The sequence below is a fragment of the Homo sapiens genome, chromosome 10 (assembly GCF_000001405.40).
Source record: "Homo sapiens chromosome 10, GRCh38.p14 Primary Assembly".
Taxonomy (NCBI): Eukaryota; Metazoa; Chordata; class Mammalia; order Primates; family Hominidae; genus Homo; species Homo sapiens.
In genome coordinates this window covers 71,512,919-71,529,005 of record NC_000010.11, presented here as the reverse complement: position 1 = coordinate 71,529,005, position 16,087 = coordinate 71,512,919, and the positions used below count along the sequence as shown (strand labels likewise).

General features: G+C 53.2%; 1 protein-coding gene across 5 annotated transcripts in view, besides 2 other annotated features; it reads right to left on the bottom strand.

The window, feature by feature from the left end:
• CDH23 (cadherin related 23) overlaps positions 1 to 16,087 on the bottom strand; it is a 419,028-nt gene that overhangs the window by 286,942 nt on the left and 115,999 nt on the right. The gene's annotated exons all lie outside the window — the stretch shown is intronic.
• Positions 1,174 to 1,684: an enhancer, noted in NCBI's record as "H3K4me1 hESC enhancer chr10:73287079-73287589 (GRCh37/hg19 assembly coordinates)". NCBI's record gives its function as "activates a minimal SCP1, AML or CMV promoter by ChIP-STARR-seq in naive H9 embryonic stem cells {active_cell/tissue: H9 hESC(naive)}" and the evidence as "EXISTENCE:reporter gene assay evidence [ECO:0000049][PMID:30033119]".
• Positions 10,978 to 11,478: an enhancer, noted in NCBI's record as "H3K4me1 hESC enhancer chr10:73277285-73277785 (GRCh37/hg19 assembly coordinates)". NCBI's record gives its function as "activates a minimal SCP1, AML or CMV promoter by ChIP-STARR-seq in naive H9 embryonic stem cells {active_cell/tissue: H9 hESC(naive)}" and the evidence as "EXISTENCE:reporter gene assay evidence [ECO:0000049][PMID:30033119]".

The following is a 16,087-nucleotide window of genomic DNA, read 5'->3' as shown; positions in this document are numbered from 1 at the left end:
GAGACCCTCCCATAGAACAGGGGAAACAGACGTGTGCTAACCAAAGACAAAGCAGTGAGCAGGGGGCTTGGGGACACAGGAAACAACCTGTTCTGCTGGTTTTAGTGCAGTGCCCCATCCCCCTGCTCAAAGACCTATCATCAGAGACCCTCCCCCATCCCCAGCATGTGGGGGCTTTGGCTATCTGCCCCAGGTGGGCGGAGGCCCAGCCTGGCAGCTCAGAGTCCCAGGGGAGCATGTTGCAGGGCAGGCTTGGGCCCCCAGGGTGGGGAACAGGGTTCTGGGGGCCTGGCTCTACTCCTTGCCAATAGACCCCTATCTCTCCACAGACCTTTCATCAGGATTCCCAGGCTGCTGCGGAGGCCCGGGCACCTCAATCACTCCTATCGCGCTGGTCGCAGGAAGAGAATAGCTTTCAGCTCAATTACCCTTCACATTCCAATATCATAACGCTCCGATGAGGCTTTTTAACCAAAAACAAAAAAGCTGTGTCTGCCGCAGGCCGGCTGCAAGGCCAGCCGTGCAGAAGGGACGGGCCTGCCTGCCTGACAGTCACTGCTCAGCCCTCTGGGTGAGTTATGGGAAGGGACCCGTCCCAAGGCACTGGCCAGGCCGAGGGGGCACTGAGGTCCTGGACCTCAGTTTACCAACATACGCCCTGCCTCTACATTAACTGTTAGAATTTGATTGACCCATGACCTTCTTTAGGGAGAGAACACCGAGACCCAAGTCCCAAGAGGCCTGGCGGTGGAGTGACATACCCCACCTACCCCAGGATGGTCTTTCTTGTCACAGTAGCCCTGTCTTCTCTTTCTGGGCACAGGAATGCTACGAGACCCTTTTAGTGCCATGGCATGATGGCATTATTCAGCCAGGCCACGGCCTGGAGAGATAGACTCTTGGTTTACATGCCATTACACACCCTTTGGCTCATGTGTTTCTTATAACACTGACCAGCCGGGAAGCTAGCCAGAGTCAAAGTTACTAACCCCACTGCACAGATGGGTAAACTGAGGCCCAGAGAGATGAGATGAGAGGCCCCCAAGCATATGGAAACATCCCAGTCCAGCCATGGGGACCAGGGAGGTGAGGTCTGCTCCAGCCAAAAGGGTCCAGGTGGACGCAAACTGATCTCTCCTCTTCTATGCTGGAAGTGACATGCAAGGGTCCCCTGCAGCAGGCAAGTCCTGTTCCTAAGTGCTTCATGTGCATTGCAGAAGCCTTATAAAGTTTGTGATCGTCCCCATTTCACATGAGAAAAACTGAGGCTCAGAGAGGCGAAATCACTTGCACAGGGTCAGAATTCATACCCAGGCCTGGCTAACTCCTGGTGCCCTGGTCTTGCTTCTCTGCTATATTCAAGATGGAACACCTCTAAACCACCCCAGGCATGGGAGAAGCTGTCCCCATGTGGACACTGTTCTCACAGGGAGACAAAACCAAGCATCCAGGCCATGAACTGTGCACGCCCAGTGAATGATCAGACAGCACACACATCCCACACTGTCCCGTCCCACGTCACACCTTGAAGGGCTACACACAGGGCCCAGAGGAGGAGGCTGGGCTGCTCTCTTCCAATCAGCTGTGCTGCGTCGACCTGGCAAGCTCAGTGCTAATGGCCTTGATGGCAGCATTCCCTCCCTGTGTCCTGCTGGCCTCCCGCTGGCTGTGGCTGATTTGCTCATGATTTAGCACTTGGGGGCACTGACCCGTGAGGGAGACACCCGGGACAGAAGGAGGCAGGGCGGCTGTGGCAACTGAGGTGTGTGCACGCGTGCGTGCCCTGTGCAGGGGCGGGAGGCTGTCTCTCCAGGAACAAGCTGCCCAGCCTGGCTCTCTAAGACTGAGAGAGGTGTCTGGCATCCCCACCCCACTCTGTCCTACGCTGACCTAGGGCACTGGGGTGGGGCTGGAGAGAGGGGTGGTGGGAGACCTCAGGAAGGCTGCAAGGTGCCACAGTCCAGGTGTCCTGCCCTACGAGCCCAGCACCACTCTCACAATGGTCTGTCATCTGCTGGGTTCTCTGAGAACCCCGGCCACATGCGCCCGACACTCGAGACATAAACACCTCTGCAGCCCAGCCCTTGGTCAATAGAGGTGCAGCATGGTAAGGGGTGCTGGGAGTGACTGACAGAGTCCACATCCCATCTCTGCTCTGTGACGTGGGCAAGACTTAACCTCTCTGAGCCCCAGCTTCCTCATTTTTAAAAGAGGGAGAATCCCAACGCCTTGGCCATAGATTGGTTATAAAAAGCACCCGAGTGACGCATGCAGTCTCCATGATCGTTATTATTATTGCTGTTCAGCGTTTCCCCTCCATCCAGTACCCCTGGGGTTTAGAGGTTCAAGGAAATGATAAGATACAGACCCCATTTTTTATCATTTGTGAATCCTGGAGCTTGAGACTAAGAGGTCCCAGGTGTCATACGAGTGGCATAAGCAGAAACTGGAGAAGGAGGTCAGTGCAGGGAACGGTCTATCTGAGCCCATGCCAGGCCTGTGCCCTGCCCCTTCCTCCTTCATGCCCCTAACTTCAGGCAGCCCTTTTCCATCTTTTGGGGCCTCCGCCCACCTCAGAAATAGAGAAGCAGACAGATAACTCAGAAACGGGGGAAGTCCCTCTGCTCACCTTGGACCCAGGCAGTCCCTCTTCCTGCCTCCTGGGCCCACGTGGAGAGCCACAGGTGAGCGCTGGATGCTGCAGTGGGGGCAAGTGTAGGGGTGGGACAGGACAGGGACAGCCACTTTGCTAGGCTCATCTGAAGCTCATTTGACCCAATTCTACCGCCTAGAGGAAGATGTGCTTGATACATGCCACAGGAGGACCAGGGACTTGGGAACCAAGGCAGGGCCCGGCTTTCTTGTAGCACCAAAGCTGGGATGGGTGAACCCCCTGCTCCACCCCCTCAGCGATGCAGAGGGCCGAGCTTTTGCTGGTGGCTATCTGGGTCCTCAAGCACTGGGTCTTGCATCCTGTTGCTGTGGGTGAAGGCTTTCAGCCAGGATCTGCTGGAGGCCAGGGACTCATTCCTCTTGGGTTCCCAGCACCAAGCATGGGCTTGGCACCCAGCAGGCCCTCAGGCAATGTTTGGTGAGTGAGTAGATGAATGAATGAATGAGGGTGGGGTTGGCACATGGAAGCAACACTCTAGCATGCCTCTGCCACTCTGCTGTAGCAAGCCAAGCAGGGACGCCTCTTTCTCTGGTTTCTGGGCTGCTGCCAAGAAGCCAGGTTTCCCAGGAGGGTCACGGATGCTCAGGCCCCCGCTGAACCCTCCTCTGTGGTGTCCCAGCAGTGTGGTGGCCACTTGTTGGATGTAGCACCACCAGCACCCCGTACCTGCCATCTCTCCCTCTCTCCCCACCTATGGTATGGGTTCCTGCCTGCAGCTGGCAGCTCTGGGTTCCTGGACTCTACCACTCCACCCCTACTGGCTTCCATGGGGCCTCTTCCCAGCCAGCTACCCTCCCTAGTCCTGGATGCTCTGCCCACGGCTGGCCCTCGTGGATTGTTCCCAAAAACCACCAGCTTCCCACTGTTGTGCAGACAACCTGCTTCCATCCTCCTGCCTGAAGGCCACAGAGAAGCAAGGCAGGTAGAGCCTGGGGGTGCTTCAGGGGTGCACTTTAGAACACATGTCCCACTGCTCTGCCTCCAAAGCACCTTGAGTCAGTTTCCTATGGCTGCTGTAACAAGTTACTACATACGTAGTGGCTTAAAACAACACAGATTTATCACCTTGTGGTTCTAAAGGTCAGAAGTCCAACATGGGCCTCAGGGGGCTAAAATCCAGGTGTCGGCCGGGCACAGTGGCTCACGCCTGTAATCCCAGCACTTTGGGGGGCCGAGGTGGGCAGATCACTTGAAGTCAGTAGTTCAAGGCCAGCCTGGCCAAATGGTGAAACCCAGTCTCTACTAAAAATACAAAAATTAGCTGGGCATGGTGGTGCACGCCTGTAATCCCAGCTACTTGGGAAGCTGAGGCAGCAGAATCACTTGAACCCAAGAGGCAGAGGTTGCAGTGAGCTGAGACTATACTAGAGCCTGGGTGACAGAGTAAGACTCTGTCTCAGAAAATAAGTAAATAATAAAATGAAATAAAATACAGGTGTCGCAGGGCTGCGTTCCTTCTGGAGGCTCCAAGGGAAATCTGTTTCCTTCCCTTTTTCAGTTTCTAGAGGACACCCACATTCTTTGGCTCCTGTCCTCTTCCTCCATCCTCAAAGCCAGCAACATAACAACCTCAGATCCCAACACTCACCTCTGCATCCACTGTCATGTCTTCTCCTCTGACCCTCCTACCTGCTTCTTATAAGGACCCTGGTGATTACAGAGGCCTCACAGAGAGGTCCTTAACCGCAAAATCCCCTTTTCCATGTGGGGTCACACAGTCACAGGTTCCAGGAATTCTGATGTGGCCATCTTTGGTGGGCAAGGGGGCATTACTCTGCTTACCACACTCCAGCCCCATTAGATGACGCGATTTCCTCCAGTAGCCCTGAGCAAGGCATCCTCCTTTTGCCCCTAGCTGCCTTTGACTGACGAGGCCAGACTCAGCCCTTCTCCCACGGCCTGGCAGGGAGCTCGAACCGCACTTCTGAGCTACCTTCAGCACGGGTCTTGGAAGAGAGCACACCAAGGGCTGGTTCATGGAATTCCTCTCTTAAAGGATATGGGCTACAGAGGAGCGGGAGGAAGCTCCCTGAGGGCAGGGACGGCATCCTGCAACAAATCCGCTGAGTCCCCACCGTGCGCCAGGCCCTGAGGGTCCGTCCACGGTGGAAAGCCACATGTCCCTGCCCCTGCTTTCACAGAGCTCACAGTCACCCGTAAGAAGCTAACAGTGATCAAATAGTCCTGCATATATGTGAGTAATTACACCTCAAGGTCAAAGCTATAGAAGCTCTGCTGCTCTGAAAGCCCAAGAACAGAAAAATCTTTCTGCATTGGGAGGAGGGATGAATTAGGAATGGAAGATCCCAGGGGAAGCTGGGAGTTCATGAAAAACGGGGAGGGTGATGTGTTCCAGGGAAGTAGAAAGGCCGTGCAAAGGCCCTGTGGCCTAGTGCCCTTGGGGACCACAAAGAAGGTGGAGGTGCAGGAATACAGAAGAGCAGGGGAAAGAATCTTTAAGGGGAGGCTGGAGAGGGGGCCGGGATGAGACCCCGCCAGCCTTCCGGGCTTCTGGTCGTCAGCTTCAGAGCACTACAGAAAGGTTTTTGCAACATCCCTGGCACATCCCAGGGACTCAATACATTTGAATGAATAGATGGATGGATGGAGAATACATGAATGAGCCTCTCTACCCTCCTCCTGCCCCTCACCAGTGACCTGCCCCATCCCTCCCTTCTGCACAGCAACGGTTAAACGGGATCTCTAAGGCTTGCTCACTTATTTATTTATTTCCCCCCGGCTGCTGGCTCCGACCCGTGCCTCCCGAGTGTGGCTCCGTGGAAATGTCTGTAATCGCCAGCACACTTTAGGCATTACTTCCACACCATTTAGAGCTTTCCGCCCCAATAGCTGCTATTGCATTTCCCTCCATCTCCATCTTTTGGGCTGTGTTGGGCGGAATATTTTTTTCTAAGGTTTGGTAGTCCCCGAGTTTGAGGGATCTGGTGGTTTGGGGGAGGTGAGGAGAAAGACAATGCTTTAGAAGAATTTATTATTCTTCTCCCATTGCCCTGGCCCTGCCCCAGCCTTGACCAGGAAAGGAAAAAACAATCAGTTCTAGCCGCTAAGGAGCCCTTAAAGATTTTTGTGTTTTCCCATGCAGGACTGAGATTGGGTTGCTGATGTGAACAGAAGCTTTGTGGGAGGCTGGAGGTGCTAGAACACAATAAAGGTCATCTTGGATGAATCCCTCCCCTAACCAAACACCCTCCCTGCTTCCACCTTTTCATCTCAGGGCCGGCTCCTCTAAAGGCAGCAGCCGGGCAGTAAAACCCCAAACCCTGAGTGTCTATTCCAAGGGTTAAATGCATTTGGGCTTGCTTTGGGGGGCAGACAAGAGCCGTAAGATGTGAGACAAGCTGTGTGACCTTGGACAAGTCACTGAACCTCTCTGGGTGTTTTTTCCCCAGCTCTAACATGAAGACAATCACACCTTTCTTACCAACTGGAAGGACTACACTGAGGATGGAAGGAGACAGTATGAGGGGAAAAGACCCCTCTCCTTTTTTCCCTTCTCCTTCCTCTCTATCCAACTTTTTTCCCCATCCCATTCACCTCCCTATGATTCCTCTTCACCCATCCAGCCTCTTATCCCAGCACCTAGGCAGCTCCATATCCACCTGAAAGATGACCCTGGACAAGGGAGAGAGTGTCTCAAGGTAATGACCACAGGGGTTAGCTCCCCCTGGTGCGTGCAATGTATAGGCGGACTGTCCCATATCACCTGCACAGTGGGGACCTTGTGTCAGCACCACATGCATTTGATCAGAGACAGTAAGCTTCCCAGTGACACACAGATGTAAGTGGTAAGAGCAGGATTCAAACTCTTCTGTGGTACTCCTAATACCATGCTCCTAACCAGTGTGGGGAGTGGCCCCCAAGAGGAAGCTGGCTGCCTGCTCCCAGGGGCTTACATGTTAACAGAAACCCACTGGAATGGATATAATAAAATGACAATGGGCAAAAGCAAGCCACGGGGTTAGAAGCCAGGACAGTGGCTACCTTTAAGGGAAGGGAGAGGGACAGGGAGGGGCACAGTGGGATCTCTAGATGCTGGTGAGGCTCTGCTTCTCGATCCGGGTGCAGTTACACAAATGCATTCACTTTGCAATCACTCATAAAGCTGAATATTTATGAGTGTTTGCTTCTCCATATGTAAGCTTAAGTAATACGTTTCCTCAAAAAATAAGACAAAAAAAAAAACCTGTGTAAGCTTGTGGGGGCCACCAGAAAAAATACTCTAGGAATTAACTCATGCCACTGGCATGAGGCTTTAAGCTCCAGACAGCATGGAGTGGACAGGCCCAGGACAAGCATTTACAGAGGAGCAGCTGAGCCCTGGAAGTGAGACGACTCGCCCAAGACTCAGGGTTGAGCTGCACTTGTCTTACTGTGCACAGGCAGGCGACCGCCCCTGTCTGCAGGTGGGGGGCCAGGGGCCACCCCAGGAAGGAAAGGCTGGGCCAAGGTCAAGAGGCAGAGGGCCCACCTGGGAGGCGGGTTTAGAAGCTCGGATGGGTGGGTATAAGGAGCAGAGACTTGTGCCTCCAAATCCAGAGGAGAGAGGACTAAGTGAAGAGCCGGGGCCGGCCCTCAGCAGCTGCTTCTGAAGGGGATATGTGCTCTGACATCTCTAGCACTTGGCTTGCTTATCTGTAGAATGGGGATAAAGGACCAACCTCCCCTACCCTCTCCCACGGGATGGTTCTGAGGAAGGAAGTGTCAGGTTTGGCTCCTGGCAGGAAGGAAGATGGTGCTGTGGGCTTGGATGGCAGCATCTCAGGGGAGGGCACCGCAGGAACAAAGGCTGGGTGGCAGGAAAGTGACCACTTGGTATTGGGATAGGAATGACAGGAACACCAGGGGCTCAAAGCCTCACACGGATGGGATGGATTTCTGAAATGGAGGGTTCGTCTCAGCAATGGTGGGAAGTGTGGGCTCAGACTGGGAGGTGCAGGGATGGGAAGGGGTCAGTGGGAAAAGGCCTCCCACACCATTTCCCTCTCTTGGGAGCAGGATTGGGAGAGGGGACCAGCCTGAGCCCACGACTCTCCGGGGCAAGGACGTGAGTGGGCATTGGGCTCCCTGGGGCTGGCAGTGCCCCATGCCTGGGAGGTGGGCTGGCTGATCAATGATGAAGACAGTGAGTGGGGACGATTACATTGTATCTAGTGATTATGCCCCGGGTGACATCTCTCGGTGGCATTATCTCATCTGGAGAGAAGAGCGGGCTTTTTAATAGATGGACAGGTGGCTTCCACTTAAGGTTATTATAAAGAGGGAGAGCCCAGCCCTCACAGCTTCCAGCCAACACCACAAAGTTGCTAAGTAATTAAAGGCTGCTAAGGAATCAGAGAAATTATAATAATTCCATCAACCCAAAGCTCGCTCTGTCTCGTTTTCCCCCTCCTGGTAGAAAACAAGGTGGGTCAGGCAGCCTGCGCACACATCAAAACAAGCCTATTGTGTGGTGGGCCTCCATGTCACAGGGGCTGCCAGGCCTGTCCCCAGGCTGTTTGGATAATACTTGAACTTGTTAGGATAAGTGAAGGGACCAAGATAAAAACTGTAGAGACCCCAGAAACAGGAAAACAATAGCAGTGTGCTGGTGGCTGATCAGACACCTGTGGACACCTGTGACCTGCATCAAGAAGGCAGTCCGGGCCTACTGCTCATGGGGTTTGGGGAGCTGCCCAGAGGGGAGCACCCTCATCCCAGCCCTGTTCTGGACACTCAGGCCTTACCTGGGAAAGCAGTGCTGTGCCTCTGGCCCAGGGCTGAGCTCCGTTTCATAGGTTCTGGAAGCCAGTTCCTGAGAATCTTCCCCAGCCACCTTTGATGGCCCATGCTTTGCCACTAATTGCGGGGTGACCCTGGGCAGATCCTTGACCCTTACTCAGTGTGTTGCTCGCCCACAGAGTGTGCGGCTGGATTAAGTCACCTCCAGGGTCACCCTGTGCTGGTTTCACAGAGTCTACGTGGAAGTCTAGGCCTATTACCAGCTGTTTCTTGATGACTCTTTCATTTTTTTCCCTTGCCATGTCTTTGTTTTATGTTTCCCACACATTTCCTGACTGCCACTGGAATGTCAGTTTCCTGACCACCAATGCCCTGACTTCAGCCAATCAGTCCACGGGGATGAGTCCATCTGTCGAGCTCCTCGGACTTCCAGGCAACTTTCCTGAAGTTCTCAAAGCTTTTCATAACAGTGGTAATACTCTTCAGGTCAGGCGAGAGGGCTCATGCCTGTGATCCCAGCACTTTAGGAAGCCGCAGCAGGCAGGCTGCCTGGACCCAGAAGTTTGAGGCCAGCCTGGGCAGCGTGGTGAGACCCTGTCTCTACAAAATGCTGGTGGCCCTACAAAAAATACAAAAATTAGCTAGGCATGTTGGTATGTGCCTGTAGTCCCAGCTACTTGGGAGGCTGATGTAGGAGGATCACTTGAACCCAGGAGGTTAAGGCTGCAGTGAGCTGTGATCACACCATGCCACTGCACTCCAGCCTGGGTGACAGAGTGAGACCCTGTCTCAAAAAAAAAAAAAGAAAAAAGAAAAAGAAAAGAAAAAAGGTAATACCCATCAGTTACCAAGTACAACCTATGTATGTGGTGCTTCATACACGTGCTCTCATTAAACTTTCACAACTCAGTGTATCCCTATTTTACAGATGAAAAAACTGAGGCTCAGAGAGGCTAACACCTTGTTTATGGCCTCCCAGTGTGCAGTTAGAGCCCACATGTGCACAGCCCCATCACAATGCAGTTGAAGTCTGGTCCCCATGTCACAGATGGACACAGGTTCTCACGATACAAAGCTGCCCTTGGCTGTAGGTGGGGCCTTTCTAGACCCTTGGTTTCCTAAGTCTGCCCCCACTTGGGGTGCCCCACTGCCTGGAGGAAAAGGCATACAGGCAGAAGACCCTGTACCCTCCCTCCATCAGGCCCCACCATGGGGGCAAGGAAACCATTTAAAAGAAAGGAGCTGAAAAATGGCAGATGGACTCAGCGTGCGAGGCTGACAGCCCAACACTGCAGCAGAACTAGCAGGCAGCTATCATCTCCTTCCATTTAGAGGTTCTTTATTTAAAGGGCAGGGGGCACAATAAAAGGTGTTCCGGTGAGTGCCGTAGAATCCCTAATGCTTGAGAGCTGGGCTCTGCACAGTCCCCCTGCTTCGTATTCATGGCAGAGGGTCCCGCAATCATTGCAATAGAATTATATGGGCCCCCAAAGACTCCCAGCTAGAATCGGCGAGGAAACTGATGTAATTAAGAACATTATTACCATTAAAACAAAATAATAATTACAGGGGGGCTCCCTCCATCTCCTGCTCCCACGCTGTCCTCTTTCGTGGTGCTGTGGGTGGTGGAGGACGCCCACAGCCTTGGCCACGCCCCCAATGGGCATGGAAGAGGTGGTGTTACAGGGGACATGAGGGACCAGGGGTCCTTGGCTTCACCCCACTGGGTGGAGGAGGAAGCAAGCAGCTTCTGAGTGTGTGGCTGGGCTGAGCTCAGGGCCCTGGTTTTGTGGGACCCTGTTGACTCCCTCCTTGGCACCTAAGAACCAGAAAGAGGTGGCAGAAAATGTTGAATCTTCCCTGCAGGCAAGGGGAGCAGGCTGGCATTTAGCCTGTGTGTGTGTGGGCAGGGGAAGGGGGTCATCACCTGCTTCTCACAAACAATGCTGTGTGCACAGCTGATGACCGAAATCACGGAGGTGCCTCTGCAGCACACTAACACTGCAGGCCACAAGGAAGGGGTGTCACTATGACCGTGGCTGGGTCCTGAGCTACAAGGTGATGCCCAGCAGGGGTGGTCCTCACTGCAGACAGCCAGCAGTGAGCTCTGAGTACAGTTTCTCCACTGGACCTCCTAAGCCTGTGCATGAGGCCCAGAGTTCCCTGTCGCTTACCCCAGCCAGGGATGGATCAGGGCCTCAGCCCTGCAACTTATTGCAAATCAAAAGCAGGCCATGGCAAATTGCAAAACAATACATGCAAAGATGCTGGCAGGTGAGAACGAGTTCATAGGGCCCTCTGGGAGGCAGGACACAGGATGGAACATGCTGCAGGTCTATCTGACTCTGGGGAACTTGGAGAAGTCAGTGAATTTGTCTTGGCCTCAGTTTCTTATATATAAAATGAAAAGAATAATTCCCCCCTAACTTACAGAGTTGTCATGAGGACAAATGAAAGACAGTGAAAACACTAGGAGATACAGAAGATATTATTTAAATAAGAACACACACACACACACACATACACACACACAACCCTCAGGACTGTGTAGAAAGCCCTGCTGCTCTGCCCACAAGCATATGTCGCTTCACCACTACCAGCCCAGAGCTTGCTGTCCTGGCTGCCGCAGGCGATGGCATCTGCCTGCCGCAAGAGAGCAGGGCTCCAGGCATGTGTCACTGTGCTGACAGAGGGGACAGACCAGGGAAAGGGCAGGCACCTCAGGGTGGTCGCCGAGGGCCATAGAGACATCGTCTGGGGCTGCCGCTCAGCCAGAAAAACCCACTCTGGCTGTGGCCTGCAGGAGTCCAGAGCCCCTGCGATGATTTATTGGTCTCCCTCTCCCAGATCAATAGGTGCATGGTTATAGATGCAGAGGGGCCGCCAAGGCCCGTGGCCCCAAGGTATAAATTAATATGGCCTGTCAAGGGGCTGCCTCTCCTGGCGTGGGAGATGACACGCTCATGAGTGGAGCTGTCAACTCAGGGGCCATGGCAGGCACAAGCCAGTGGGAGCCCCCTCGCATCTCCCCCCCAGCTTCTCGCTGCAACCTGAGGATGCAGTTTATAAATCATTCAGCATCTGACAGGCACGCCATGTGGGAAGGTAGCTGGGGCACTGCTGCTGGCTGCGGTGGGTGCTAATAAGTTGGCCTCTTGGACCAAATCCACCTCTGCACGCTCTGGACCCTGTCTGGCCACCACTCCAGGGCTCCTCACATGCCAAAGCACACAGGATGACAGGGCTGAGATCCAGGAACTAGTGGGCACCAGCAGAGGGCAAGGTGCTTTCAGTGTCTGGGAGGAAAGTGGAGTGCAAGGCACATGTGAAAGTGCCCTTGCCAGCTCAGTGCTAGGCCTCACCGCTCCTCACCCAGCCCTGGACCATGCACAGTAAGGAAGCCCTCACCTCGGTAGACCAGCTGGCCGAGCAAAGTACTTTGTGTAAATGTTCCTTTTGTCCTCACACCGCCCAAGAGGCAGAGGGAGCCGCATGGCTGTCTGCATTTGTGAATTCCATTCACCCAATTCACTCAAAAGACACTGAGCACAGTCCATACGCCAGGCCTGGGGCAGGGTGCTGAGGATGCACAGATGACCAAGCTCAGTCCTTGCTTAGTCTGGCGGGAGGGATGAACACACAAACAACAGCCACAGCCATCTCCTGAGCAAGCACTTATCCTGGGACCCGGGCTGAGCACTCTACGTGAGTGATCTCATTTACTTTAATCCTCACTACGATGTTTGCAAGGCAGGTATAATTATTTCTACTTTGCAGGTAGAAGTGAAGCTACATGTCAAAAAGTCGTGCCACCCCAGGCCTGCCTCCTAATCCTGGCTCCATCCCTTTGACTAGCTTTGGGCATGCCATGTAACTGTCCTACTTCAGTGTCTGTCTCTGTAGGATGGGAATGACAAGAGTGGCTACCCCAGGAGGTGGTGGTGAGGGCTCCCTGAGATCCCATGCAGAAAACAGTGTTGGGCACACAGGAAACCAACAACAACAATCGATTTATTATTACTGTCACCATAGAAATAAATTATGTATTTGATTTCATTGACAAATGGCATCCAGGGATACCCTTCTCTCTGCTTTCCCATCTCTAGTAAGGAGGTACAGGGAATGAGCAGCTTTCATCCTTGTTAAGGGACATGGAGAGGTGGTTCAGGTTAGTGGGGCCCAGGGCCAGGAGGCGTGGCTTCGGCTCTGACCCTGATCGCAGCCAGCACTGAGGCTCAGGCAAGGACCCTCCACCTCTCAGGCTCCCAGGATCTCACCCCAGCTCCAGCCCTTCCCCATAGTAGCCTCATCCCCACCTCAAGCTGGTCACCTGAGGCCATGGGACAAGGATCTGTACAGGACCTGTCACAGAGACCTGGGCAGGGACACAGAGGCTCACTTCCAGCCTGGCTTTGTTTCTGTGAGGTAACAGTGGGGACCTGCAAAGGACACACACCCACTTAGCCACTGTCCCTCCTCAGCAGTGTCTCTAATCATAAATCAGAGTTGACTTTCCTCTGGGAAATTCCAATATATGAAAATAAGCTATAGGATCCCTGAAAGTGAGTGATATTCATAGACACCATAGTCTCTTTCTCTAACAAACTCCTACTCAGCCTCTAAGGCCCCAAACAAATAGCCCCCATGTACAGACCACACTGTTTCCAATACACTGTGCACATACAAAGCTACCATGGCATTTAATACATTTAGATGTAGTTAGACATTCACTTATTTGACTTTCTCTTAGTAAAATTGCCTTCACCAAGGACAAAGACCTTGGTCTTAATCACCAGCATTTTACTGAATACACTACAAGCCACAGGCTGTGCTAAGGACTTTTCCTAGCTACATTCTCTACAGCAATCCTGCAAGACAGATATTGTTGCTCATCTTACAGATAAGAAAGCTGAAATCCAGAGAGGTTAAGTCACTTGTCTAAAGTCACACAGTTGGGAAATGGTAGCATTTTTTCCTATCCTGCATGCCCAAGTCAGCTCAGAATCCCTGGACCCTGCTCAGTAGCTGTTCAACAAATGTTTGCTGTGTTCATTAAAAAAAAAAATTGGGCAGATCCGAACATGGTAGGTGAGATGTGGGCTTTGAACGACAGGCAGAGTTGAGTTAGGCTGAACTCCAGTACTAGTTAGAAAAGTACAATGTGTATGTGTGCGTGTGTGTGTGTGTGTGTGTGTGTGAGAGAGAGAGAGAGAGAGAGAGAGAGAGAGAGAGAGAAACAGACAGGTATCCATTGCCATTGAATTGGCTCTATGGCTGATAGGAGAGTTCATATGAAGGAATAGCAGAAGAGAATACCGAAAAATAAGTTGGGAAAGGTAGGTTGATGCTAGATGGATAAAGGCCTAGACTGCCCAGCTAAGGAGGCTGAACTTGTCAGAACTTCAAGGACAGCCACCTCTGAGACTCCAGCAGGTCCTCCAGATTCCCTGACCCAGTGAGCCATCTGGCACCACCAGACTTCTAACCTCACACCCATCCTCCTGCCTAAACACCCCAGCACCAGGGTCACCTCCCTGGGGCACACTGGAGGGCTGAGGGGGTGGCCCTGGGAGGAGCAGGGAGGGGGCAGTGCTGAAGGTCAGCGAGGCGGGCACGCGCCCCTAACGGAGGTACTGGAGCAGCACCTCTGGGCACAGACACAGGCAAACACGTTTGAGCAAATTGGAACGCCATAAAAGTCTATTACAGCAAATCAAACAGCAGTCAGCATGACAGCCATTAGCCTGAAATGAATACACGGGGACTTAATGAGGTCTGTCGAGGCTGGCTTGGTGAATTAAGTTGCCAATTCTAGCAGGATTTCCCTTTTCTTTATGGACTTGAAAGCATCTACACTGCCTCGTTAGGACTTCGACAAGTGAATTGCAGGGCCTTTCACCCTGATAAAATGGATAATTACATGGAGAACAGCTTAGTGAGGGGAGTGGGGTGGGCAGGAGGGGAACGAGAACAAACAAACTCAAACACACACCTGCCCAGCTTCTCCTGAGCTGGGGGCTGGACCCGGCAGAGGCTTTCAGAGGGAGTGGGGGCCAAGGAGAGGCAGGCAGCGGGGCAATGCCTAGCCTTGAACCGCCTCCCACTCCCTGCTGTTCCTGGCCTGAGGACTTGGGTCCAGGTGGGTCATGTCTCCAGGCAGCCATGGAGGGGCTGAAAGTTCACATCCAAGATTGGCTACCCCTCAGCACCTCTCAGAAAACCTCTAGTGGGATCCTCCAAGGCTCCCCAGACCTGGCTGTTCTCACCATTACCAGAGGAGTTTGTAAAAAATGCAGCTTCCTGGGCTGGCTCTCCCCAGCCTACTGATTCACAATTGCAGAGGTTGGGAATATGCTTTCTAACCAGTCCCCTGGGAAATTCTGCTGGGGCATGTTTGGGACCCTCTGATTCATCACTTCCCCAACACGCAGTGCTAGATGGCTGGAGAGAAGTGGTCCTCCTACTTCTGCTTGCATAACTCCAGGGATGGGGAGCTCAGCACATTCTCAGCAAGGCAGGGGCATAGACTGTGTGTGCATGGGTGTGTGTGGGCAGTCTTATTATTAGGAAGCTCTTCCTTAGATAGACCTGGATTTGCCACCCTGTAACTTACTCCCTGTGCCAATCCTTGGGTTCTGCACACAACAGACTCCATCATTATTAGGGCCCTAGATGGCTGAGATGGCCAAGAGAGGAATTGAATGGATGGAAGCAGCCACCAGAGCTTCTCCGCCATCCTGCAAAGAACGATAAGGTGCTGAAGGATGGGAAGGACCTTCTCCTGCTGGGTTTCATCCTCTGATCATGGGATGTCAGCCCTGGAAGGGGCTGGGTTCAACTCCCTAGTTTGAAAGCTGTAGGGCCTGAAGCCAGCAGACTAGAACCCAGGTGTCCTGACTCCAGTTTCTCTCTTCCCACGAAACAGCACAAGAGCAACCACTGCTTACCTCAGCCAGACTCTGCTGGAAACCCACCTCCTCCAGGAAGCCTGCTGAGATTTCTCTGATCACCCTGGCAGACCCTGGCATTCACACCTAACAGGGTCTGCAGTGCTCCCTCACCCCATTTCTCTGGCTTGCATCCTCACCCTGTTCACATTTGCAGGGCCCTTTGCTGCTGAATCACACTCTAAAGGGCAGGGGCCTGGGGTTTCCAGGGTGACCTCAATGCAAGCAGGAAAGCTTGGGCTCATTTCCGGGGCAGGGGCCAGTAGACTCTGGGCTAGTACCCCAGCTGTGGTCAGAGCCAGGCAGCTAGTTTCCAGCTCAGGTGACCACACCAGGCAAGGGCTGGTCAATGTCAAGGTACCTCAGATCAGGAGTAGCCAGGCCTCCGTCCAGCTGATACCACATCCCCACTGGCCACACTGAGCAGCCCCAAGCAGGGCATCGAGTATCAGGCCACTAAAGCAACCAGGGATGTTTACACACGAGCAATTAAACCATGTGGGCCTTCCTCCAAGGACGGTGTGTCCTTTGCAGCTGGCTCCTCTCAGCCTACCCTCTCCTTGTCAGATGGGTATCATGCAGGCCACTTTATCCACCTGCCCTTTGTTTTTATTAGATAAGGAGGGCCATGGCACAGAGAGGTGAAGTGACATGCCCAAACACATTCAGCAAGCTGGGAACAGAGCAGGGGCTGGACCCAGGGTCTCTTGCCTCTAGTTCTAACTCC